This window comes from Homo sapiens, chromosome 15 (assembly GCF_000001405.40).
Source record: "Homo sapiens chromosome 15, GRCh38.p14 Primary Assembly".
Taxonomy (NCBI): domain Eukaryota; kingdom Metazoa; phylum Chordata; class Mammalia; order Primates; family Hominidae; genus Homo; species Homo sapiens.
Window position 1 is genome coordinate 44,588,406 of NC_000015.10, and position 24,906 is coordinate 44,613,311.

A 24,906-nucleotide genomic window follows, 5' to 3' on the forward strand; every position below is an offset into this window, starting at 1 on the left:
CATAGAGAAGAAGATAGTGACAGGGTGTGGGAGTTAAGTCAGGGTGGTGGGAAAAATTGTAGAGGAAAAACTATAATAGTTATAGGAAATATTATATAAGAATAATTATATACTAATATAGGAAAAATTATATAAGATAGTTATAGGAAATAAACACAAACCTTCTCAGAAGGCTGGGCCGTTTGCATAGCTTCAGTGACAGATTTGGCTGAAGGCAGCCTAATCCTCTTTACCTTTAGTTGATAGCAAAAAAGCAAATAACAAGGGAATGTGGGGAAGTATATCTAAATAGCTTGTTTACTCATGTGGTCCTAAGACCAACCTTTGATCAACCGCGGGTACATAATTGCTCTCTACTCAGGGGATCGGCAATGTTAATTACCGTCTAATGGTGTTTACTCAAAACCTTTGCCATTTAATCTGTACTAAATAAATGCAAACTTTGCCAGCTTATGAAGCAATGCTCCAGACTCAGAGCAGAGCCCCTTAGCTGGACTGACAGGCAAAATATCTCTGTCAGTGTATGTCTTGATCTGTTGCTAGGTCAGCGTCTGTGGGTTGGACCCCCACAACAGGGTAATGTAGAAGCCAGCCAGGAGGAAATGTGGCTATTTGGTAACTGCTTAGAATGAGATGATTGGTTATATCATTTATGTTTTATGCTGTTGTATTATTTCTTGAATATTTTAACCACAATTTAAAGTTCTCTGTAACTTGTTTACTCCCAGTTGTAGACTGTAAGTTAATGTTACATGCATTTTAATTTCCTAACTACCCCTCTAAAGTATTTTCAAGATTAAGAAAGCTAACTTCTTAATAGCAACTTAACTGTAAGGATTGTCTTACCATCAGAGAAGAGATGCTCTCTTTCAACAAAGAGCTGTAAAAGCTTCCCCAGCTCATACTGGGTCTTACACTGCTGTAGCATAAGCTTCAAAAGGAAACACACCTGATCCTCCAGCCACATGGCAGGGATGACAGGGTGGACCTTTGTGGCTGCTGTGTTAAGCTATGAAAGAAAAAGAGAAGCTTAGGGAAAGCAGTTTCATGAGAATAGCAAATCAAAACCTCCAAATCTGGGAACCTCTAAGAAAGCTAAAATTCCCTCAAAAGCCATCGCCTGTCATGAGGCACTTACTCAGTTCCTTTCCAAATGGCAGGAACTGGTAATGGGGCTCAGAGGACTGGCAAAAACAAGCCCTCCTCAGCAGCTTTGCACATTGTCTCTTTGTGGAAAGTTCTGGTATAGAGCTGCATGTGTGAAAAAGATGGGCAAGAGTCCTAAAGACTGAATGCTAACTACAGAGTTAATGTAAAATATTCCTACTTAGTGACTGTCAAATTAATAGCCCTTTGAGTCACTGTAAAATTAACCAGATGTTTCACTTAGCAGCTTCTTTATTTTTATTTTATTTTTTGAGACGCAGTCTCACTCTGTTGCCTAGGCTGGAGTACAGTGGTGCAATCTTGGCTCACTGTAACCTCTGCCTCCCGGCTTCAAGTGATTTCTCCTGCCTCAGCCTCCTGAGTAGCTGGGATTACAGGCACACGCCACCACGCCTGGCTAATTTTTTTGTATTTTTAATAGAGATGGGGTTTCACCATGTTGGTCAGACTGGTCTCGAACTCCTGACCTGATGATCCGCCTGCCTTGGCCTCCCAAAGTGCTGGGATTACAGGCGTAAGCCACCGTGCCTGGCCTAGCAACTTCTTTAAAGAGGGATGTAGGCCTGCCCTTGAATCCAGAGGATTTTAAATTCACATTATAAAAACCGCTTAGAAAGACGTGCCTAACATTACTTCGCTAGTTCTACCACTTTGCTTGTAGTTTATTCTTGTTAGAGAACGGTCTCAGTTAAGAAGCTTGGATTTACATCATTTCAACTGAATGCTAAAAATATTAATAGGAAGATGAATTCAAGTGGCAGGCTGCATTTCTACAAGTAGGTGTGGCAAAAATATCTTCTAGGATGCTGCAGGAAAAGGCTGATTTCAGAGGAGTGGTGCTTTCTTACCTGCTGCTGCTGTTTTTTTTTCTTTCCTTTGTGTTGGTAAAGAACAGGGTCTTCACTATGTTGCCCAGGCTGGTCGAACTCCTGGCCTCAAGCCATTCTCCCACCTCTGCCTCCCTGAGTGCTGGGATTACAGCTATGATGATAGCGCCCAACAGATGCTTCTTTTGTGACTTCATTCCTGATTTTTACTTTGGTTCTTGCTTCGTATTATTTTTGGAAGACTAATATTTGGTTCTCAGTCACTATAGTCTCGTAGTTCACTCTAGACTTCATACAACATAATCACAAAAAATACTGGGCGTTTTGGTGGAATAGAAACTTAACTGCCGGGTTTCAAAACACGTATATGTTAATAGGCACCAAAAACTTATAATTCAGTACCTCTGTGCCTAGTGCTGAGTTAGGCCCTAGTCTTGGCTGAATACTTCCTGTATACTTCTGAACACACCATAAAAGTCATTCTGAAGGTAAGTTTAACATGCAGGGCTTTTTGGCTGTGACGTAGGTTTTAGAAGACAATATTCCCTTCAATGGAATTCTCAAGACTGCCAAGATCTTAAATTAAGGAATGGTTTATAAAATCATGTGTCACATTACTGCTATCTTCTTACCTCTATTTGGAATGAATTTCCTTCTCTACTGTCTTTCCTATGCCCTATGTGGTCCTCCCTGTCCATTTCTCATCCTCTTCTCTTAAATTCCAATAGGACTTACCTACTCTAAGTAAAAAGATCATTTTGCTTTTGCAGCATCTCCCTTAATGCAAAGTTGTTTAAGGGAATTATTATGAGAAAGAACACTGGTAGTCAGCTCACTAAATTGCTACTATTCCTGCTTAGACACTGTTCCTGAATGTTTTCTATAACCATTCTGACTGGATTTTGATGTTTAGAAGAACAAAAGTTATATAATACTTCTATTCTTTTTTAAAAAATATTTCTCTTCTTGATTCTTTATCCTCCTGAGTGTCCTTGTTAAAATTAGCTGGGATTAGGGCATTAGTGCTTAGTCTTTATTTAATTACTTGTATACCTAACTCTGTTGCTCTAAGAAGAGGAACAAATGTGAACAGATGATGGAACTGGTTAAGCTGGTCAGGCAAGAATAAGAAGATACCTGGGAGGTAGCCAACTGGCCATAGGGAGTAATAGGCTAAGGAAATTAATGTGCCTATTTTCTGTGGTTTTAGAATCCTAGGCATATTCAAATAACTGATTTGGTATTTTCAAATATATAACTTTCAAATCTTCATTACAGTGAAGACCAGTGTGGCCGGACATGGTGGCTCATGCCTGTCATCCCAACACTTTGAGAGGCCGAGGCAGGAGGACTGCTTGAGGCAAGGAGTTCCAAACCAGCCTGGGCAACAAAGCAAGACTTCTTCTCTATAAAAAAAATATTAAAAATGATCGGGTGCAGTGGCTTACGCCTGTAATCCCAGCACTTCAGGAGGCTGAAGTGGGTGGATCACTTGAGGTCAGGAGTTCAAGACCAGCCTGACCAACATGGTGAAACCCTGTCTCTACTAAAAATACAAAACGTTAGCTGGGTGTGGTGGTGGGCACCTGTAATCCCAGCTACTCTGGAGGCTGAGGCAGGAGAATCGCTTGAACCTGGGAGGTGGAGGTTACAGTGAGCGGAGATCATGCCACCGCACTCCAGCCTGGGCGACAGAGCCAGACACTGTCTCAAAAAAAAAAAAAAAAAGATTAAAAATTAGCCACGCTACTTGGGAGGCTGAGGCAGGAGGATCCCTTGAGCCCAGGAGTTCAAGGCTGTAGTGAGCTGTGATCGTAACACTGTGCCTGAGTAACCGAGTGAGACACCAAGTCTTTAAACAAAAACAAAAAAGTCCATGCATGCCAACCAAGTGCAGATCAGTGAGAAAGAGCACCATAATTCCAACTTACCGTTTCAAGGCTCTTCTGAAACTCCAGAAGTTTAGCTTCAGCTTCTTTATAATTCCTGAAGAACATACACAGTTCATACATCTCCATCACCAGTAGTAACGGGGAATCCTTTGACAAAGAGTTTGAAAAAAATTACAAAATTTTGAACTTAATATTTTTTCAATGAATAATGCCAAATAAGAGAATGTTAAAAATGCTATTAATAAGGCAGGGCACAGTGGCTCATGCCTGTAATGCCAGCACTTTGGGAAGCCGAGCCAGTGGGATCACCTAAGGCCAGGAGTTCGAGACCACCCTGGCCAACATGATGAAACCCCATCTCTACTTAAAATATAAAAAAGTAGCCAGGCATGGTGGTGCATGCCTGCAATCACAGCTACTCCAGAGGCTGAGGCATGAGAATCACTTGAACCTGGGAGGTGGAGGTTGCAATGAGCCAAGACTGTGCCACTGCATTCCATCCTGGGCGACAGAGTGAGACTCTGTCTCAATAAATAAATAAATAAATAACATTAGCCAAGTGTGGTGGCATGTGCCTATAGTCCCAGCTACTCGGGAAGTTGAGGGAGGATCACTTGAGACCTAGAGGTTGTAGCTGTAGCTATGATCACATCACTGCACTCCAGCCTGGGCAACAGAGCAAGACTCTGCCTCAAAAAAAAAAAAAAGAAATGCTATTAGCAATAGCTTCACAGATTAAATCATGTACGTTAAAGTTAAATATAATTTCTTTTCCTTTTGGAAAAATGATACTCAGTCCAGTTATACCTACTCAACAATCAATTTTCTGTCTACTCTATACTTGGCCTATTGCACACAGGCAGGAAGCATTCCACTAGATGGTGCTATGACACCTTTATTATTATTTTTTATTATTTTTTTTGAGACATAGCCTCATTCTGTCGCCCAGGCTGGAGTGCAGTGGCATGATCACAGCTCACTCACTACAGCCTTGACCTCAGGTGATCCTCCCACCTCAGCTTCTAGAGTAGCTGGGACTAGAGGTGCGTGCCACCGTGCCCAACTAGTTTTTGTATTTTTTGTAGAGACGGGGTTCACTGTGTTGCCAGGCTGGTCTTGAACTCTTGGACTCAAGTGATCCATCCGCCTAGGCTTCCCAAAGGGCTGGCATTACAAGTGTGCGCTAGCATGCCCAGGCATAACATTTTAAACACACACACCTGGATAATCTGCTCTACTGATCCACCTTACCTACTGTTGCCTGTGGCACTGATTCATACATTTTATTGTTGTCAGTGGGAGTCGCTCAGTCAGATAATAGGAGTTCTGAATTAGAAAGTATGGCTCTGAACTGTAAATACACCACTTACTGAAGTATTTTGAGACCTTGGATAAGTTACTTAAGTTTTGTGAGCCTTGATTTATTAGTCTGTCAAATGAGAGCAACATCACTTCATAATATCTTTTTTTTTTTTTTTTTGAGACACGGTCTTGCTCTGTCACCCAGGCTGCAGTGCAGTGGTGTGATCTTGGCTCACTGCAACTTCCACCTTGCGGGTTCAAGTGATTCTCGTGCCTCAGCTTCCCAAGCAGCTGGGTTTACAGGTGCATCCTGCCACGCCCGGCTTTTTTCTTTTCTTTTTTTTTTTTGTATTTTTAGTAGAGACGGGGTTTTGCCATGTTGGCCAGGCTCATCACAAATTCCTGGCCTCAAATGATCCGCCCGTCTCAGCCTCCCAAAGTGCTGGGATTACAGGTGTGAGCCACCGTGCCTGGCCCATAATATCTAATATTATTTTCACATAGGATTATTGTGAAAACTCACTAAAATAATGTATAAAAAGCACCCTGAGGCTTGGAGCGGTGGCTCACGCCTGTAAATCCCAGCGCTTTGGGAGGCCGAGGTGGGAGGATCACGAGGTCAGGAGATTGAGACCAGCCTGGCCAACATGGTGAAACCCCGTCTCTACTAAAAATACAAAAAATTAGCTGGGCGTGGTGGCACGCGCCTGTAGTCCAAGCTACTCGGGAGGCTGAGGCAGGAGAATTGCTTGAACTCGGGAGGCGGAGGTTGCAGTGAGCCGAGATCGTGCCACTGCACTCCAGCCTGAGTGACAGAGCGAGACTCTGTCTCAAAACAAAAACAAAAACAAAAAACAAAAAACCACCCTGGGCCAGGTGTGGTGACTGATGCCTGTAATCCCAGTGCTCTGGGAAGATGAGGCAGGAGGATCACTGAGCCCAAGAGTTCAAGACTAGCCTAGCCTGGTCAACATGGCAAAACCCTGTCTCTATTAAAAATGCGAAAAAAAAAAAAAAAAAAAAGCCAGGCATGGTGGTGTGTGCCTGTTTTCCTAGCCATCTGGGAGGCTGAGTTGGGAGGATCACCTGAGCCTTGGAGGTTGAGGCTGGAGTGAGCCTTATTATGACACTGAACTACAACCTTACAACCTGGATGACAGAGTAGGACCCTGTCTCAAAAAACAAAATAAAATAAATACGACTTTGCTAAGTAAATGGTACTTTTGTTGTTGTTGTTGTTTTTGAGACAGTCTTGCCCTGTCATCCAGGCTGGAGTGCAGTGGCACGATCTCGGCTCACTGCAACCTCCACCTCCCAGGTTCAAGCAATTATCCTGCCTCAGCCTCCTGAGTAGCTGGGATTACAGGCCCACGCCACCATGCCTGGCTAATTTTTGTATTTTTAGTAGAGACAGGGTTTCACCATGTTGAACAGGCTGGTCTCAAACTCCTGACCTCAAGTGATCCACCCGCCTCAGCCTCCCAAAGTGCTGGGATTACAGGCGTGAGCCACTGCGCCTGGCCAGTAAGTGGTACTTCTAATATTATCATCATTATCTGTTGTTGGCTAAAAAAAAATCCAGGGATGGAAATAAGAAAAAGCCAAGAAGGGATATGCTGAAGTAATCTCTTAAGCTCTGGAAAGAAGTGAAGCAACTATCACTACCTTAAAGAAAAGCTGGAAACCTCTGATGAGAGTTTTGCTCTTTTGTCTTGTTAATAATGTTCTCCAGATGACTGAAAGATCCTCAAGGTTCCAGGTATGGTCCTCTGTTGAGTCCTGAATGTGTCCCATTGCTTCAGTTGCAACATTGTCCTCCACAGAAGTGATGATCCAAACACAGAGACAAGAAATGGCACTGGCACCCTGCCACGGGATAAATAAAATAACAACTAGGCCTGGATTACCTGGCAAATGTACAAATACTACAGATGGATATTTCCTGTTTAGAATAAGTCACCCAACTTAATTAGTTAAAATGGCTTGAAAAGCCTTCAAACATGAAACAAACTAATGAGCAACCAAGGGACTGTTCTAAACTGTCCTGCAGAGTGTTGCAGGTCACAAGACCAAGAAGCAGACAGAAGGGGGTATATGCAAAAGTCAGGGAAGTACTAATCATAAGAGAGTAGGATTGCCCTCCACTGATCTGCTGATTAAAGGACTGTCTGGAATGTCCCTCTTCCCTGCTAAAGAGGGCACTAAAGAAACAGTGGTGGTCAGTCCACCAAAGCGTCTTTCTCTGTGACTGCCAACCAGAAACCAAGGCTCTGATCACTTGAGTTCACTGAATGTCAAGGCACAAGAAAGTACACCAAATGGCCCAGAGCCTAAGCTAGAGAAGCACAAAATGTTGCAGTGAACTTGGAAACACATGCTGGAACCTCACTGTCATCATCACCCCACTTCTGATTATCAGCCTTTCCTGTCCCTCATTACTTATTCTATTGTTCTCTGGGTACTTACTTCAGGCTTCTCATGATCCTCACCTGGAGACATGAGGCCAGAACACTGAGGATAGGGGCCTGTTGTTTCACTGCTTCAACCAGAAGCCAGTGCCAGGAGTCTGGCTCCTCTGAGCATTGGAGCAGAATTTCAAATAAATCGGTCATCTCTTGTTTGCTTCCTTGAAGTTCCTGGGGGCACTTATTGCAGACTTGATCGCTGTCCATTTTGGAGGTGGGCACTGAGGGCAAGTTCTCAAAAGCCAGCCTTAAGTGGTCTTGAATGACTGGGCTGAAGTACTGGATAAGGGATTTCACCTAGAAGGCATATCAGATGATTAAACAGAAACCCAACTTTCAGTTTCAGCTGGAGCTGAAAATGTTAGAGAAAAGCATAGACAAAATTATGCTTTCTCACCCTGAACTAAGTCAGAGTGACTATTATGTAATTTTACAAAGCTGTATGGTGCCTTTTAATGAATTTTCATATTCAATCTGAAGTCACAAAAGCTTTTCAGCTCTTCAGTACTAGTGCCTTGTCTGATGCCAACCCACTGAAATCTTAGGAAAAATAATAGTATCATATGAAACAAAAGCCCATGTATCCAGTACGTATCCTGGTCAAAAAAAAAAAAAAAAAAAAAAAAAAAAAAGGCCTATGTCATGTCTACACAACAGAAAGAATGCTATCTTCTAAGAAGTGTTCCTATTTCCTTTTGAGTGACTGCTAACAATTAGTGGCTTACCTCTGCTGGGTGGTAGTTGTGGAGTTGGCTGTGAATAATGAACTGCAGCCAATCATTTGCTTTGGCACATTCTCTAAGGTAAGATATGCTTAGTTTCATATTGTGTAGCCTGCAGAACTGCACCACTAATGCCCATTGGCTGCTAGATTCACTGGATAACCTATAATCAGAATTAGAGGTGGGGGTGGTCAAGAAAAAACAAAAAACTCATTAAAATATAGCTTTAGCTTGAACTGGAAAATGAGTAAAAATGATATAAATTAAAGCACAGTGTATTCTCCAACAAATACTAAATATTTATTAGGCTACTTTGAAAAAAGTAGATTCTTTTTTTTTTTTTTTTTTTTGAGACAGAGTTTCGCTCTTGTTGCCTAGGCTGGAGTACAATGGTGCGATCTCAGCTCACTGCAACCTCCGCCTCCTGGGTTCAAGCAGTTCTCCTGTCTCAGCCTCCGAGTAGCTGGGATTACAGGCATGTGCCACCACACCCGGCTAATTTTGTATTTTTACTAAAGACGGGGTTTCTCCATGTTGGTCAGGCTGGTCTTGAACTCCCAACCTCAGGTGATCCGTCCGCCTCACATTCCTGAAGTGCTGGGATTACAGGTGTGAGCCACTGTGCCTGGCCAAAAACAGTAGACTTTTTCACCCATAAGGCAGAATAGCTAGCTTAGCATACTGGCACAATTCATTCCTTCCCCAAGTCATCAATCAAGTACCTATTTATACTGGCTGTGTAGCATCCTTAGGAGAACTGAGGAAGTTGTCAGTCAAGAAACTTTCTGAGCACTTATTTCTCTTGCTCTATTCACTTTAGAGTACTCAGAGGCCTGGTGGGTGCCTGGGCCTCCTCACCAGGGGTAGGGTACATGTTCCTGCTGCAAGCAGGATTCTGCCAAGAACAGAATCAGTGATAGGATGTACAGAAAAAGGGTGCGTTCTCAGGGTCTGGAGTGGTTAGGTCAGCCCCAGTGGGGCAGCATAAAGAAGGCATGAAGTGTAAGGAGGTGCTTTTACATACGGTCACTTCAGCTTCCATTATCAACTGACATAATAAAATGAAAAAAGTAAGGACATGACTTAAAGTCAAATTTTGGAAGACCCATCCTACATCATCCTCTTCTTCATTTTTTTCCAATCCTCCAAGACATCTGAACCCACATCTTCTGGCATTTCAACATGTACCATTTAAAAGACTTCTCTGACTAGCAGGGCAGTGGAGGAGACAAAGCTGCTCTCCATCTCTTGGTAAGTCCATCTCTAAAGAGAGAATTGCTATCTTCACCCTCTTTTCACTGATGGCAAGATGCAATTAAAATCATTATTCATTTACTGAGTATCTGCTACATGCTAGATAAAGAAGAAGATAAGGTCTAGGGGGATTTAGTGAAAACACCAGAGTTGTTCAAAGAAAAACTAGGCAAACACAGGTTGGCACAATAAGCTTGTTAGAAAAGAGGCTGAGACTGCAACTCACAAACCTCTTTATTTCCTGTTGCTGAATGCTGTTCCATGTACCTTCTTCTAAGAGAACAAGCAATTCTTCTGTGGTTGTCTTTTCACCATCAGCTAGTTTAGATAGTTTTTCGGCTGTAAGAAATATAAACAACAAAATATGGTGAAGAGAAAAAGTCAAAACCTGAGCATTTCTGTTTGAATAGTGTGGCTCAGGGCCATTTCAGAACCCAATTAAAGTGCCCAAGAAAGTGAGACAAAGAACACACACTCTGCAGGAAAAGGATAAAACCAAGAAGATAACCATTTTCTCCCCAAACACTCACAATTCAATGCCTTAGACCTCGTCACACCTTCTCTAAACAAAGCAGGCCAGATAAAAGGTGCTGTACCTACAGACTCTCTGATAAAGCTGTACTGAGCATCTTCATTTCTGCACTTGTAGCTCAAAATTATATTGGCCACTTTCATATCAACTCTGAGCTTGAGGCTGTCAAGGCCAAGCAATTCTAAGAAACAAACACATGCAGCTCCTATTGAAGGTATGTGGAAGGAGGAGAGCCCTATAACATAGGCTTCATTGCCTACTTGCTGGATCCTGAAAAAGAAAGGAATCAAAATCACATCAGCACATGAAAATTATGTCTCACCAGGAAAAGCAAATGGAATTAAATCAGTGACAGAGGGAGTGCCAGCCATGTGATTTGTGGCCTCCTCTCCCTTACCTTTTGCCCCTTGCACATACCCGTTTAGGTTCCTGGTAGCTTTTCAGTTGTCTTTTGGCCCAAGAGCCCCCCGCTTCCCTTAAGCTGACTTTCTAAAACGCTTAGTCATAGTCTAAACTATTCTTGCTTCCAACTTCATCAAGACATGAAGTACAACTTCTGAAAGACTGCCAACTTGTGATCTTATCAATTATGAGTACGTATACAAACTACGAAGAATATCAATGCCACTTAAATGTAAGTTTGACATCATGAAGCACATTTAAAAAAACTCATATAGGCCTTTTATAGGAATAGAAAATTTGGGAAAGACACAAGAAATTACTATTTTTTATTTTTATTATTATTTTTTTGAGATGGAGTCTCGTTTTGTAGCCCAGACTGGAGTGCAGTGGTGTGATTCTTGGCTCACTTCAACCTCTGCCTCCCGGGTTCAAGCGATTCTCCTGCCTCAGCCTCCTGAGTAGCTGGGACTACAGGCACCCACCACCATGCCTGGCTAATTTTTGTATTTTTAGTAGAGACAGGGTTTCACCATATTGGCCAGGCTGGTCTCAAACTCCTGAGGTTGTGATCCGCCCACCTTGGCCTCCCAAAATGCTGGGATTACAGGTGTGAGCCATCGTGCTCAGCCCACACAAGACATTATTAACCATGTTTTTACCATGTGGAATGGGAAGCTGAGGGCTATCTTTCATTTTCACCTTTCTGAACTACTTGAATACTTTACCATAAAAAAGGTATTACTTTGTTAATTATAAAACAAACCAATAAAGTAAATCTATATTTAGCTGTTCATTATAGTAAATGCTCCTCTCAATTCTGTGCCTTATAAAAATGAATAATTGAATTATTAAAGACATTAAATATAGAATTCACATCTCATCATATAATTCCCTTTTTTTAAAGTTCTGGGATACATGTGCAGAACATGCAGGTTACATAGGTATACATGTGCCATGGCAGTTTGTGGCACCTATCAACCCGTCATCTAGGTTTTAAGCCCCGCATGCATTAGGTATTTGTCCTAACGTTCTCCCTCCCTTAGAATTCCCTCTTTAACTGCTAATATTTGACAAACTCCTGTATGATTTTAAATTTTATTATTTTTCAAAACATATTTATGTTTTTTCCAATTAACAAAAATCACACACACTAAATGCCAAAAACTTAGGACACACAGGGAAGCACAAATGAAAACAACAATAATCACCATCCAAATGTAATCACTGTTAACTGTGGTATGTTTCCAGTATGTTTTTCAATGTACATGTAAAACATTATACAGATATGCCCTTTTTTAGAATACAAATTATATTTTATTTTACTTTTTTTGTTTTAGTGGCAGAGCCTCACTGTCACCCAGGCTAGAGTGCAGTGGCATGACCATAGCTCACTGCTTCCTTGAACTCCTGGGCTCAAGTGATCCTCCTGCTTCCCAAAGTGCTGGGATTACAGGTGTGAACCACTGTACCCAGACAAAATTATATTTTAAATACTCACAGCTGCTTGGGAGTCTTGCTCTTGATTAATTCCTGGACCAGAAAAGTACCAAATGCAAATGATGGCCGCCCATTATGTAAATAATAAGCAAAATTCAGACGTTCCACTATAGCATATTTATTAACCAGGTCAGGGCTAGAGAAATGTGGGAGATGACTCCATGCATCTAGGGGGAAAGTAAAACAATATTAATTATCTGTATATCACCATAATTAATTTCAGATTTGCACATGGAACTCTCTAATGATAAAACTGGTTGCTGTAATTATTTTGCATCACTACGTATCACTTTGAATCTACCAAAATCTGATTTATTTTACTTCAGTGTATAGAGGTAGCCTTCATTTTATACAAAGATGTGTACCTGAGAAGTTGCATAAAAACTCTGGTAAGAAATGATGCTTCAGCCGGGTACGGTGGCTCACGCCTGTAATCCCAGCACTTTGGGAGACTAAGGCAGGCGGATGACCTGAGGTCAAGAGTTGAGACCAGCCTGACCAAGTTGGAGAAACCCCGTCTCTACTAAAAATACAAAATTAGCCAGATGTGGCGGTGCATGCCTGTAATCCCAGCTACTTGGGAGACTGAGGCAGGAGAATCACTTGAACCTGGGAGGCAGAGGTTGTGGTGAGCCAAGATCGCGCCATTGCACTCCAGCCTGGGCAACAAGAGTGAAACTTCATTTCAAAAAAACAAAAAAAAGTGTGAGATTCCTGGTCTTGACACCACTAGCTGCGTGACCTTGAGCAACTTATTTAAGAATTGTATATATTTAAAGTATACAACATAATTGATTTTTTATTTTTTTTTTTAAGACAGGGTCTGGCTCTGTCGCCCAGACTGGAGTGCAGTGGCATAATCTTGGCTCACTGCAATCTCCACTTCCTGGGCTCAGGTGATCCTCCCACTTCAGCCTCCCAAGTAGCTGGGACCACAGGTGCATGCCACCACACCCAGCTTTCTTTAGTATTTTTGGTAGAGATGAGATTTCACCATGTTGCCCAGGCTGGTCTCAAAATCCTGAGCTCAAGCAATCCACCTGCCTTGGCCTCCCAGAGTGCTAGGATTACATGCGTGCGCCCAGCCTCTTCTTTTTTTTTTTTTTTTTTTAAATAGAATCTTGCTCGGCTGTCTAGGCTGGAGTGCCATGGCACAATCTCAGCTCACTGCAACTTCCGCCTCCTGGGTTCAAGTGATTCTCCTGCCTTAGCCTCCTAAGTAGCTAGGACTTAGAGGCACGTGCCACCACACCTAGCTAATTTTTGTACTTACAGTAGAGACGGGGTTTCGCCATGTTGGCCAGGCTGGTCTCGAACTCCTGGCCTCGGGTGATCTGCCCACCTTGACCTCCCAAAGTGCTGCGATTACAGGCATGAGCGTGAGCCACTGTGTCCAGCCAGCCACCGCGCCCAGCCCACCCAGCCTCTTTCACCAATGTTTGATAGTTTAATATGTACAGATCTTTGACCTCTTTGATTAAATTTATTCCGAAGTATTTTGTGTTCTATTAAAAAATAGAAATGGGATAGTTTTGTTCATTATCTTTTTCAGACAGTTTGCTGTTGGTATATAGAAACACTGATTTTTGTATGTTGATTTAATATCCTGCAACTTTCTTAGATTTGTTTATTAGTTCTAACAGTTTTACTGGTAGAGTCTTTAGGATTTTCTATATACAAAATCATGCCATCTGCAAACAATGACAACTTCACTTCTTTCTTTCTGATTTGGATGCCTTTCTTTTTTTTTGCTTAAATGCTCTGGCTAGGACTTCAACTACTATGTTGAACAGAAGTGGCAAGGGTGGGCATCCTTGTCTTATTTCTGATCTTAGAGGAAAAGCTTTCAACTTTTCACTGCTGAGTATATTAGCTGTGAGACTGTCATACATGGCCTTTATAATGTTGAGATGCATTCCTTCTATGCCTAATTTGTTGAGAGTTTTTATTATGAAAGGATGTTGAATTTTCCTAAATGCTTTTTCTGCATCTATTGATATGATCATATGGTTTTTGTCTTTTTTTTTTTTTGAGATGGAGTCTTGCTCTGTTGCCCAGGCTGGAGTGCAATAGCGTGATCTTGGCTCACTGCAAGTTCCGCCTCCCGTATTCACGCCATTCTCCTGCCTCAGCCTCCCAAGTAGGTGGGACTACAGGCGCCTGCCACAATACCTGGCTAATTTTTTTTTGTATTTTTTAGTAGAGACAGGGTTTCACCGTGTTAGCCAGGATGGTCTCTATCTCCTGACCTCGTGATCTACCCACCTCGGCCTCCCAAAGTGCTGGGATTATAGGCATGAGTCACCATGCCTGGCCTGGTTTTTGTCTTTCATTCTGTTAATGTGGTGTATCATTTATTAATTTGTGTATGTTGAACCATCCTGGTTTTAATTCTGTATTTGATGATCCTTTAAGTTCAGAAAGGCAATAGCCAATAACCCTATAGTTGTAAAGTCTTTAAATAACTGCAAAAGGAGCTTTTAAATTCATTCACAAAAGGTCATTATGCAATAAAATCCCTTTTAACATATTTATATGAGTCCTCTGTTCACCAAAGCCAACTCACTGTACCTTTCTCCAACAGGCAATTTTTTTTTTTTTTTTTTTTGGACACAGGGTCTTGCTGTTGCCCAGGCTGGAGTGCAGTGGCATGACCATAGCTCACTGCAGCCTTGACTTCCTTAACTCAAGCAATCCTCTTGCCTCAGCCTCCTGTAGCACTGTAGGCACACACAACTATGCCTGGCTAATTTTAACATTTTTCTTTCACCTTCTTGACCCTTATCTTCTATACCCGGCTAATTTTTTGTAGAGACAGTGTCTTGCTATGTTGTCCAAGCTGGTCTTGAATTCCTCGCCTCAAGCAATCCTTCCACCTCAGCTTCCTGAGTGTTAGGATTACAGGCATGAGCCACTGCACCTGGCCTCCAACAGGTAATTTTAGAACATTTTTCCCTCTACACTAATTACCCTCCTATAACCTCCATTTGTTATCACTTACTTTCTGATGTTGTATTCATAGAGCATGAATATCTTAGAAAGATGGCACCATCCTTCTATTAATAAGACCAGCAGAATAGCTCAGTTTAAAGTTCCTCTAAACCCAAGAAAATATCAAACAAAAATGTCTTTTTTTAGATAAATTTGAAGTCAGAAGATATTTTGATATGAGTCTAGTCATCTCTTGGTATCCATGGGGGATTGGTTCCTGAAACCCTTGGATACCAAAATCCACAGAAGGATGCTCAAGTCCCTGTAAAATAGCATAGTATTTATATATAGCCTATGCACATTTCCCCATACACTTTAGATTACTCTAGATCACTTATAATACCCAATAAATGTAAATGCCATGTAGATAGTTGTTATACTGTATTTTTAAATTGGTATTATTTTTAATTGTTCTATTGTTTTTCTTTTTTTTAAATTGTTTGTTTGTTCTTTTGAATATTTCCCATCTGAGGTTGGTTGAATCCTTGGATGTGGATCCCAAGGATATGGAGGGCTGACTCCAGTTAGAAAGAAATAGTCACTCCTGTCACGTACTATTCAATTGTCTCTTAACCACTTACTACCTATTTTTTAAAAAAGACAACACTGTGATCTGGTTCCAGAAACTAGTTCTGGAAAACAGTGTACCTGCTCTTGTTTTCAAAGTTCAAAGCTTATTTCTGAAATAAAGTTGTGTTTTCTCATGGAATTCCAAGGACTTTTCACATTGTGACCTGATTCCTAAAAAAAAAAAAAAGGCTTGAAGACCCTGGAGGTATCTGTCATCTTACAAAGGTCTTACCTGAAAGTACATTCCCTCTTTGAGATTAAAAAAACTGTCACATGCCCTATTTGTATTCTTGTGAGAACAGAGCGACTTTGACAACTTGTAATTACATATAAAGCCATTCATTAGATATTTGCTGAGCGTTTGTAAGGCACACAGTACTGAAATGAGCACATTTGAGTTTTTTATTCAAATAAGACCATAATTTTTTAGCACGTTGGGGCTTAGTGTGGAGACTGCGTATAAGAGAAAATTCATTCTAGAGGGAAATTTTACTCTGGCCTGGTGCAGAAGCCAAGTCACCACACAGTGTTCTTACATCCCTGTTCAGTGGTAAAACCATAAGAAAAAAGAAGTCAACATTCAAATTAAATACAGGTTTCCAATTTTATAAATATGTATTGGTTGGGTGCGGTGGCTCACGCCTGTAATCCCAGCACTTTGGGAGGCCGAGGTGGGTGGATCACGAGGTCAGGAGATCGAGACCATCCTGGCTAACACGGTGAAACCCCACCTCTACTAAAAATACAAAAAATTAGCCAGGCGTGGTGGTGGGTACCTGTAATCCTAGTTACTCGGGAGGCTGAGGCAGGAGAATGGCATGAACCCGGGAGGCACAACTTGCAGCGAGCCGAGATCGAGATCGTGCCACTGCACTCCAGCCTGGGCGGAACAAGACTCCATCTCCAAAAAAAAAAAAAAAAAAAAAAAAAAAAAGTATTACATTTTCATAACAGTTTCATTTACTTTGTGCTTTATTTCCTCAAGTATGTTTTAAACTTCTAAAAACAGCAGGGAACATGCTTTCAACTTCTCTGTGCCTCTACTCTACCTGGCAGAGTGCTCAATTTCCAAGAGTTAGAATGCCAGGTCAAGATGCCACCTAAGTGATGGAGTTGGAGCCATCACAAGAGGAGAGGGTATTTTGTCTACTCTCTAGTAACTTCACTGAGAAAGAGTATTTCTATTTGATAATGCAATAAGCACTACTTTTTTCAGCACTCAACAAATATTTACTGAACATCTACTGTAGGCTTGGCATGCATTGGACTCTGGGCACGAGGTAAATTCTATATATCAAAATTCGAACTTATAAAACACATACATTAAGAAATTCATTTTTATGTATGTCAATAGATATTGGGTACATACTATGTACAAAGTACTAATGCAAAGCCTAATTTAGGGTAATATAGGCAGAGGCACCACAGGCAACATGATATTAAAGATAAAAGAGAAATAGAAAAAACAGTTTAAGAACAGAAAAAAATCAGAGAAAGTCTTATGGTCTTTATAGGACATCACGATGTGTGTGAATCTGGTACTTAAATGCCTTGCCTCCTTTTATTCTCATAGTAATGTGTTCGGTGGTCACTGTGATTAACCTCATTTCATAGAGAATTAAAGAGGTTAGATCACATGACCAAGGTCATACAGGTATTAATTACATGGTAGGGCCAGGATTTGTTTAATGCTGACACCTATGCTTTTAATTTTTATGATACTATACTGGAAATGAAGAATAACTTTTTGAAAGGAAGAAATATAAGCAAATAGTTACACATTACATTTCTCAGCAAGTACAGCACTAGTAACCTAATACATTCACTTTTAACTCACAATATGTTTTCAATTCTGTCTTTGCGAACTATTTTTCCTTTGGAATACACCTTTACTTTTAAAATAAAAATCAATGAGAAAACTAGATTGGCATTACATGTATTAACTTCTGTAGTTAACACTGCTAAAACATGTCTCAAGAAGTACCCATGATGACTTACCTCCTATAGCTAGTGTGTTAGCAGACTGCCAGCCAAACAATCTGCTAGGATCAAAGGGTGATAATGACTGAAAAAGGGGAAAAGTTAAACAGAATTAGAAGTTCACTGATTATAAAATAGGTAAAAAAAATTATATGAAAGGACTTCAGAGGTAGTCTGCTCCCCTTTTCCAAGGCAATTTAAGGCTTATTCTGGACATAAATTCTTTGAACACAGCTAAAAATAAAATAGAATTATGACATATCTTTATATCTTAATTAAAACAGAACTGGCTATGTTCCTTTTAAAGACTCTCCTTATGTCAAACTATGTCCGCAAAGGCTATACTCTTTTGGTAGAGGGAGCATCAACTATAAAGTAAAATGGGCTTCAGAAATGCTTTTGGAATCAAAAAGCAAGAGGGCTAAAAGACTAGAAAACGTTACCAGGTAAACATGATAAGATGAGCAAAGAACAGGGTAGGCAAGGAAAGGAAAAGAGAAGAAAAAACTAGATAAATGGTTGAAGGAATGTGATGAGCAACAACATGAACAACAAAGAAAAAATAGCGGACCAAGGTGAAGTCAATCAGAAAAGATCTGGCAGCAGCAAGTAGTGGTTGTTTGGAATTTTTCTAGGCCAAATGTTTAGCAAAGTCTATAAACGGATCGTGGGAAAAATACAGGAAAAAAACAGAACAAAAAAAGTCAGGATTTGGATGGCCCAAAATAGAGTAGCTTTGATGTAAAACTAAGGAAGATTTTGTGATCTATTAAAGAAGGAATACTTTTCCTAAAATAACCACTAAAAAAATTAAATCAGTCCACTTGAAAACAGAACAAAGAGCAACATGAAACCACTTGTGTTTCAAGCTGATCCAAACTACTTTACGTAGTGAAACTATGTTTGTTTTGCCTGGGAAAAAACAAGACACAGGGGCATCTGTGACCTGTACTTTCCCAGTAAAACTATGTTTTTACATAATCCACTTTATCATTTATACCAGTGCTACTCAAAGTGCTGGTCTAAAACAAGGTAAGACACTTCTGTCAGTATAAATCCAGAATACTGCTTCCTTCTTCAAAGTCTTGCTACAAAAAAACCCCTACTGAACTAAACAGTGTACTTAGGGACACAGCAGATATATATTTTGGTGCATACTAATCTCACCACGTTCCAGCAACAAGCAGTATACAAGTGCTGACCACACTTTTAAGTAGCACCAGTCAATACCCTAAGAAGTCTCTGCATTAGAGTAAGAGGGAGTTTGTGCCTTTATAGAGTTATTATTTTTTTGAGACGGGGTCTCGCTCTGTTGCCCAGGCTAGAGTGCAATGGTGCGATCTCAGCTTACTGCAACTTTCGCCTCCCAGGTTCAAGCCATTCTCCTACCTCGGCCTCCAGAGTAGCTGGGACTATAGGCACGTGCCACCATGCCTGGCTAATTGTTATATTTTTAGTAGAGATGGGGTTTCACTATGTTGGCTAGGTCTTGAACTCAGTGACCCGCCCACCTTGGCCTCCCAAAGTGTTGGGATTACAGGCATGAGCCACTGCACCCGGCTCCTTTATAGAATTATAAACCTTACGTTGAGTTGAAGATACTATGAGAATATGTGTATTCAGGGAAAAAAGGAAAAGCCTTTTGAAATGAGAAATGGGCAAAGGAAGGTGTTCTTAACCGAGGATCCCTGAATAGGCTTCAGGAAGTCTGTGAATCACTTTGAAATGTAAGCAAAATTATATGCATATGTGTAATTTTTCTGAGTAGAAGGTTTATAGCTTTCTCACATTCTTAGACGTTCTGAAAAAGATTAAAAAGCACTGATTTAAACAAACATCCCTGATTCATTGAGAAGAGATAGTTAGAAGTTAAAAGTGGCAGAATAGAGAAGCTTTTGATGAAAACAGCAGACAGGTATGCTGGTCAACTGTTTGGTCTGACCCACCTCCACCCTTCCCACTCTGCTCAGTATTGCAGGATACTACATTTCCCAAGCTCCTTTGCCCTTCGGCTACCAGATACATATAGCCACAAAGACACTGTGGGAGACTAAAGATGGGAAGAGGGAAGAAGCCAAGATATTCTCCCCCTTCATTTTCCTGGGGCATCTCCGCTAAGTTTCTACCTCTATACTCTATGTTCCTGGTTCCCATTAGGCAGCCTGGTTGTTAGTTTAACTCCCAGAGATGGCTCCAGCTTCTGGGTTCTGGTAACACCACTTTTTTGCATTGTTCTTGCAGCCTTAGGGGTGATGATGGCTTTCTATTTTGTTATTTTTGGGTTGTCTCACTATCACATTTGGTTTCCCCATTCTGCTATCATGCTGTGTAAGTAATTCCCTACATTAAATGCCCTCCGGTTGAAAGATCTAGAGTGATTTCTGTTTTCCTGGCTGAACTCTGATAGACCTAAATATTGGCCACCTAAATACTGTACCTGAATAAGGTGGTAGATTGTAATATCAGATGGCAGGACACTAGGAGGAGTGCACTGTGGGAAGAGAGCAGTTTTTAGCTTGGGGTAAGGAGTTAATGCCATCTTCAATAGCTGGGGATCCACTTTCTTCAAACAGTTTTCATTTTCTTCATTCTGAACAACCTAAGTAAAAAAACAGATAACAGGTTGGACAGTAGCATTTTTCTCTTCTCAAAGTTTCTTTTTTTCACAAGAACCTTGTGAAACAAGATTAGCTTGAGAAGAGTATGTGGTAGTGAATATAGCATTAGACAAGTAGTCATAAGTTAACAGTTCTTGTTCTGGTTCTAAGACAAACTAGCTATGTGACCTTAGCTAGATATTTAATATCGGGTCTTTGTTTCCCCATCTGCAAAATTAGGAAGTTCAGCTAGATCAGTGATTTTCAAGCTGTATGTAAAGAAATTGTTTGAAAAACAGCTCTGCCAATATTTAATTCAATAATATATATTTTAAAATATTTACAAACTGATAAACTAGATGACTTCTTACCCAACTCTAAAGTTATTCTATGACTGTAATTTCTGACAGATGATTAAAAATAGAGGATTAAATAGTCGTGTTTTAAGGTATACTGCAACAATCTAAAAAAGGTGGTACTAAGTTAAGCTAGCACCATTAAGAAACTTTTGAAGATTAGATATTAAACAACATTCTTTTTTTTTTGAGACGGAGTCTCACTCTGTGGGCCCAGGCTGGAGTGCAATGGCGCGATCTCGGCTCACTGCAAGCTCCGCCTCCCGGGTTCAAGCAATTCTCCTGCCTCAGCCTCTGGAGTAGCTGGGACTACAGGCACCCACCACCACCCCCGGCTAATTTTTTTTTTTTGTATTTTTAGTAGAGACGGGGTTTCACCATGTTAGGTCTCCATCTCCTGACCTCGTGATCCGCCCGCCTCACCCTCCCAACGTGCTGGGATTACAGGCATGAGCCACCGCACCCGGCCTTTAAACAACATTCTTAATTTCCCTCTAAACAGGCCACTCTACTTCTAAAAAGCAAAGATGGGCACATTTCCACTAGGTCCCTCAATACAGTTTATATGGGTAGCTGAAGATTATAGTTTCCTTTGACCTAAGAGGGCAAATAGTAGACAATAATTACTAAGCCACAGATCTAAAGTATTCTTACTCCCAGAAGCAAGCAGATCCTAATTGTATTCTGAAAACAAATCTGGAGTATTGGAAAACAAACTAAAGGGAAAAAATAATCTCTATATAACATATTCATTCCCCTCCCTGCCCCCGCCCAGCTTTTTTTTTTTTTTGAGACAAGGTCTCACTTTATCACCCAGGCTGGAGTGCAGTGGTATGATCTTGGCTCACTGCAGCCTCGACTTCCCAGGCTCAAGTAATCGTGTCTCAGCCACCCAAGTAGCTGGGACTACAGGAGCACGCCACCATGCCCAGCTAATTTTTTTTTTTTTTTTTTTTTTTTTGAGACGGAGTCTTGCTCTGTCACAGAGGCTGGAGTACACTGGCGCGATCTCAGCTCACTGCAACCTCTGCCCCCTGGGTTCAAACAATTCTTCTGCCTCTGCCTCCTGAGTAGCTGGGATTACAGGCGTACGCTACCATGCCCGGCTAGTTTTTGTATTTTTAGTAGAGACGGGGTTTCAGCATGTTGGCCAGGCTGGTTTTGAACTCCTGACTTCAAGTGATCCACTCGCCTTGGCCTCCCAAAGTGCTGGGATTACAGGTGTGAGCCACCGCACTCGGTCATGCCCAGCTAATTTTTAAATTTTTTTTTTGTGGAGATGGAGGTTTCATCATGTTGCCCAGGCTGGTCTCAAACTCCTGTACTCAAGTGATCCACCCACCCTGGCCTCTCAAAAGGGCTGGAATTACAAATGTGAGCCACCGCACTTGGCTTCATTCACTTTAAACTGAAGATGACATAAATTTCTTTTCTTTTTTTTGAGACGGAGTCCCGCTCTGTTGCCCAGGCTGGAGTGCAGTGGTACAATCTCAGCTCACTGCAACCTCCGCCTCTCAGGTTCAAGTGATTCTCATGCCTCAGCCTCCCCAGTAGCTGGGATTACAGGCGTGCGCCAAGACGCCCAGTGAAGTTTTTTTAGTACAGATGGTGTTTCACCACGTTGGCCAGGCTGGTCTCGAACTCCTGACCTCAAGTGATCCGCCTGCCTCGGCCTCCCAAAGTGCTGGGATTACAGGAGTGAGCCACTGCACCGGGCCGAGATATAAAATTTTTAAATTCAGCCTTATCCTCTGCTCTTTAATCTAATGAAATACTTGAATATAGTTATATTTTAATATCAGCTGAGATCTAGACAATCCATAGATAATTCTGCTAAATTTAAAAATCAGTCCTATTTTGTCATAAAGTGCTATCCATACCTGACTGACACCCCCAGGAGAATACATTGTAGTAGCAAGGGCCAGGAGGGTATGTCCTTCCAATAGCATACTGCTTACACTGGCCTGATTGGTGGGAATCAAAATCTGAGCATTTGCAAGGCTAGCCTGGAAGATCAGTTTGGGATCTGGAAAATAAAAGACAGTGTTTTTCTCCTTAAGAGGGATAAATACTAAATTAAGGATTACATAAATGTGAGAACAATAACATAAATTTTTAACTCTATCCCCAGTAAAAAAAAAAAAAAAAAAAAAAAAAGGACTTCCTAAATTTAAAAGCAATGGGAAAACATCACAGAGGGAAAAAATGAAAGATTTGTCTACATAAAAATAAAAACTTCTGTTCAAAGAAAATTAAAAGGTAACAATGAACTGAGAGAAAAATTGTAACAAATGACAACCTAAAGAGTTGCTGAGTTTGTTCTCAACAAAGAGCTCATCCAAATCAATGCCAAAAATACTGACTCTAACAGATAAATGGGCAAAAGAAATAACCAATTTATGAAGGAGGAAATATAAATGCCTGACACATAAAACTATATAATTCACTAGCAACAAAGAAATGCAAATTAATTAGATGCCATATACTACCTATCCAATTAGCAGTAATTTAAAAAAACTCATCATCAAGCATTAGAGCTGGTCACAGTGAGTAGAGACTAGGACTTAAAATAAAATTGTACAACTCCCTTGGAAAGCAATCCGGTCCTACAGCAAGAACCTTAAACATGTGTAACCTTTGACCCAATAGTTTTATATCCCAAAACCTATCTGTGCTAAGAAAATAATCTGAAATAAGGACAGTTTTATATTGAAATATATTCAAGACTATTATTTATAATAGAAAAAAATGGAAAATGCCCTCATTGTCGGAAAATGAGAGAACAGAAAATTAAATAATGGTATATCCATACAATGAAATATTATGTAAACATTTAAAATGGTCACTGTCTTTTTTTTTTTTTTTTTTTGAGATGGAGTCTCACTCTCTCACCCAGGCTGGAGTGGAGCTATCTTGGCTCACTGCAAGCTCCACCTCCCCAGTTTATGCCATTCTCCTGCCTCAGCCTCCCAAGTAGCCGGGACTACAGGCACCCGCCACCAAGCCGGGCTAATTTTTTTTTTGTATTTTTAGTAGAGACGGGGTTTCCCCGTGTTAGCCAGGATGGCCTCGATCTCCTGACCTCGTGATCTGCCCGCCTTGGCCTCTCAAAGTGCTGGGATTACAGGCATGAGCCACTGCGCCTGGCCTAAAATGGTCATTGTCTTTAAGAATGTGGGAAAATTCTGTTATAATATTACACACAAAAAAGCAGTATATAAAAACATAGATGTTTCTTGTTGTTCTACTAGCACTTAACAATAGTCTGTCACAAGGTAGGAGCTCAATAAATATTTGTTGGGTGAATGAAATACAATAGAGACTAAGTTTTTAAAAAGTACAGTGAAGATAACTGGAACAAAATACATTAAAATATTATCAGTGGTTACCTATGGGTGGTTATTTTCCTATGTACCTAGGCTATCTACCTATGGAGGTATTACTTTTTAATTAATTAATTATTTTTTAAAAAAGAGACAGGGTCTTGCTTTGTCAACTAGGCTGGAGTGCAGTGACACAATCTCTAATCCCTGGGCTCAAGTGATCCTCCCATCTCAGCCTCCCAAGTTGCTGGGACTACAGGAGCATGCCACCACAGCTAATTTTTAAAAATCTTTTGTAGAGACAGGGTCTTGCTATGTTGCCCAGGCTGGTCTTGAACTCCTATCCTCAAGTGATCCTTCCACTTTGCCTCCCAAAGCACTGGGATTACAGGTGTGAGCCACCACACCTGGCCAGTATTACCTTCTTGATAGTTGTCTGTGGCTTCTAATTTTTTTTTTTAACAATGAACATATATTACTTCATAATCAGCATGCAAAACCAAAAAACAAAACCCACATTATGAAAAAATTCTGCATTTTGAGAGAAACTGGACATTACATGCAACTGAAAGACTACTGACATTCCTTGTCTGTGGTCATTCAGCCTGTCCCCTTTCCCATATTTCTGGCATAACACCAGCTAAGTCCTCAGGGGTAAGAAGCCTTTTCTGTCTGATTACAACCAGAGTAAGCCTCTACATCAGCAGCTCCACTGCAGAGGACACAACAATCTCACACATACTATGGATTTCTTTTAACTCCATTTGGAGTTCCTTACAAAAATTCAAAACAGGGATCTGGAAGACAGACCACTTCTTCATGGAAAAAGGGTGTCAGTCTACCAGAGAGCAGGAATTCAGCCTGTGACAAACTGGTGGGATAAGGGAAATTCTAGAGCACGATGCTAAGGGGAAGGGGACAAAACCACAGAAGCTCTTTGCTCCAGGTCTAGCTTTTCTTGGCTGGCTGATGGCTAACCTTTTTGGCCTTCCTTCTGCTTCTTACCTCAAGTGTGAGCCTAGATTACAT

The 24,906-nt window shown here is 40.9% G+C and overlaps 1 protein-coding gene across 9 annotated transcripts in view, besides 2 other annotated features; it reads right to left on the reverse strand.

Annotated features, from left to right (window-relative positions):
- The window catches only part of SPG11 (SPG11 vesicle trafficking associated, spatacsin), a 100,967-nt gene that overhangs the window by 25,710 nt on the left and 50,351 nt on the right, over nucleotides 1-24,906 (reverse strand). For 5 of the 9 annotated variants that reach the window (NM_001411132.1, NM_001160227.2, NM_025137.4 and 2 more), the window contains 11 exons: nucleotides 22,435-22,580; nucleotides 20,039-20,200; nucleotides 17,620-17,686; nucleotides 12,062-12,227; nucleotides 10,226-10,431; nucleotides 9,860-9,968; nucleotides 8,379-8,538; nucleotides 7,678-7,950; nucleotides 6,854-7,054; nucleotides 3,926-4,033; nucleotides 847-1,009 (listed from right to left, as the gene is read on the reverse strand). In NM_001411132.1, the coding sequence (NP_001398061.1) occupies nucleotides 847-1,009; nucleotides 3,926-4,033; nucleotides 6,854-7,054; nucleotides 7,678-7,950; nucleotides 8,379-8,538; nucleotides 9,860-9,968; nucleotides 10,226-10,431; nucleotides 12,062-12,227; nucleotides 17,620-17,686; nucleotides 20,039-20,200; nucleotides 22,435-22,580 (1,761 nt within the window). Of the gene's footprint in view, nucleotides 1-846; nucleotides 1,010-1,688; nucleotides 2,283-3,925; nucleotides 4,034-6,853; nucleotides 7,055-7,654; nucleotides 7,951-8,378; nucleotides 8,539-9,859; nucleotides 9,969-10,225; nucleotides 10,432-12,061; nucleotides 12,228-17,619; nucleotides 17,687-20,038; nucleotides 20,201-22,434; nucleotides 22,581-24,906 lie in introns of those variants that run through there. The other 4 variants (XM_017022635.3, XM_006720701.4, XM_047433145.1 and 1 more) reach the window with 4 other exon arrangements.
- Nucleotides 4,674-4,773: an enhancer, noted in NCBI's record as "active region_9340". NCBI's record gives its function as "activates an Ori minimal core promoter by ATAC-STARR-seq in GM12878 lymphoblastoid cells {active_cell/tissue: GM12878}" and the evidence as "EXISTENCE:reporter gene assay evidence [ECO:0000049][PMID:35858748]".
- Nucleotides 7,794-7,943: an enhancer, noted in NCBI's record as "active region_9341". NCBI's record gives its function as "activates an Ori minimal core promoter by ATAC-STARR-seq in GM12878 lymphoblastoid cells {active_cell/tissue: GM12878}" and the evidence as "EXISTENCE:reporter gene assay evidence [ECO:0000049][PMID:35858748]".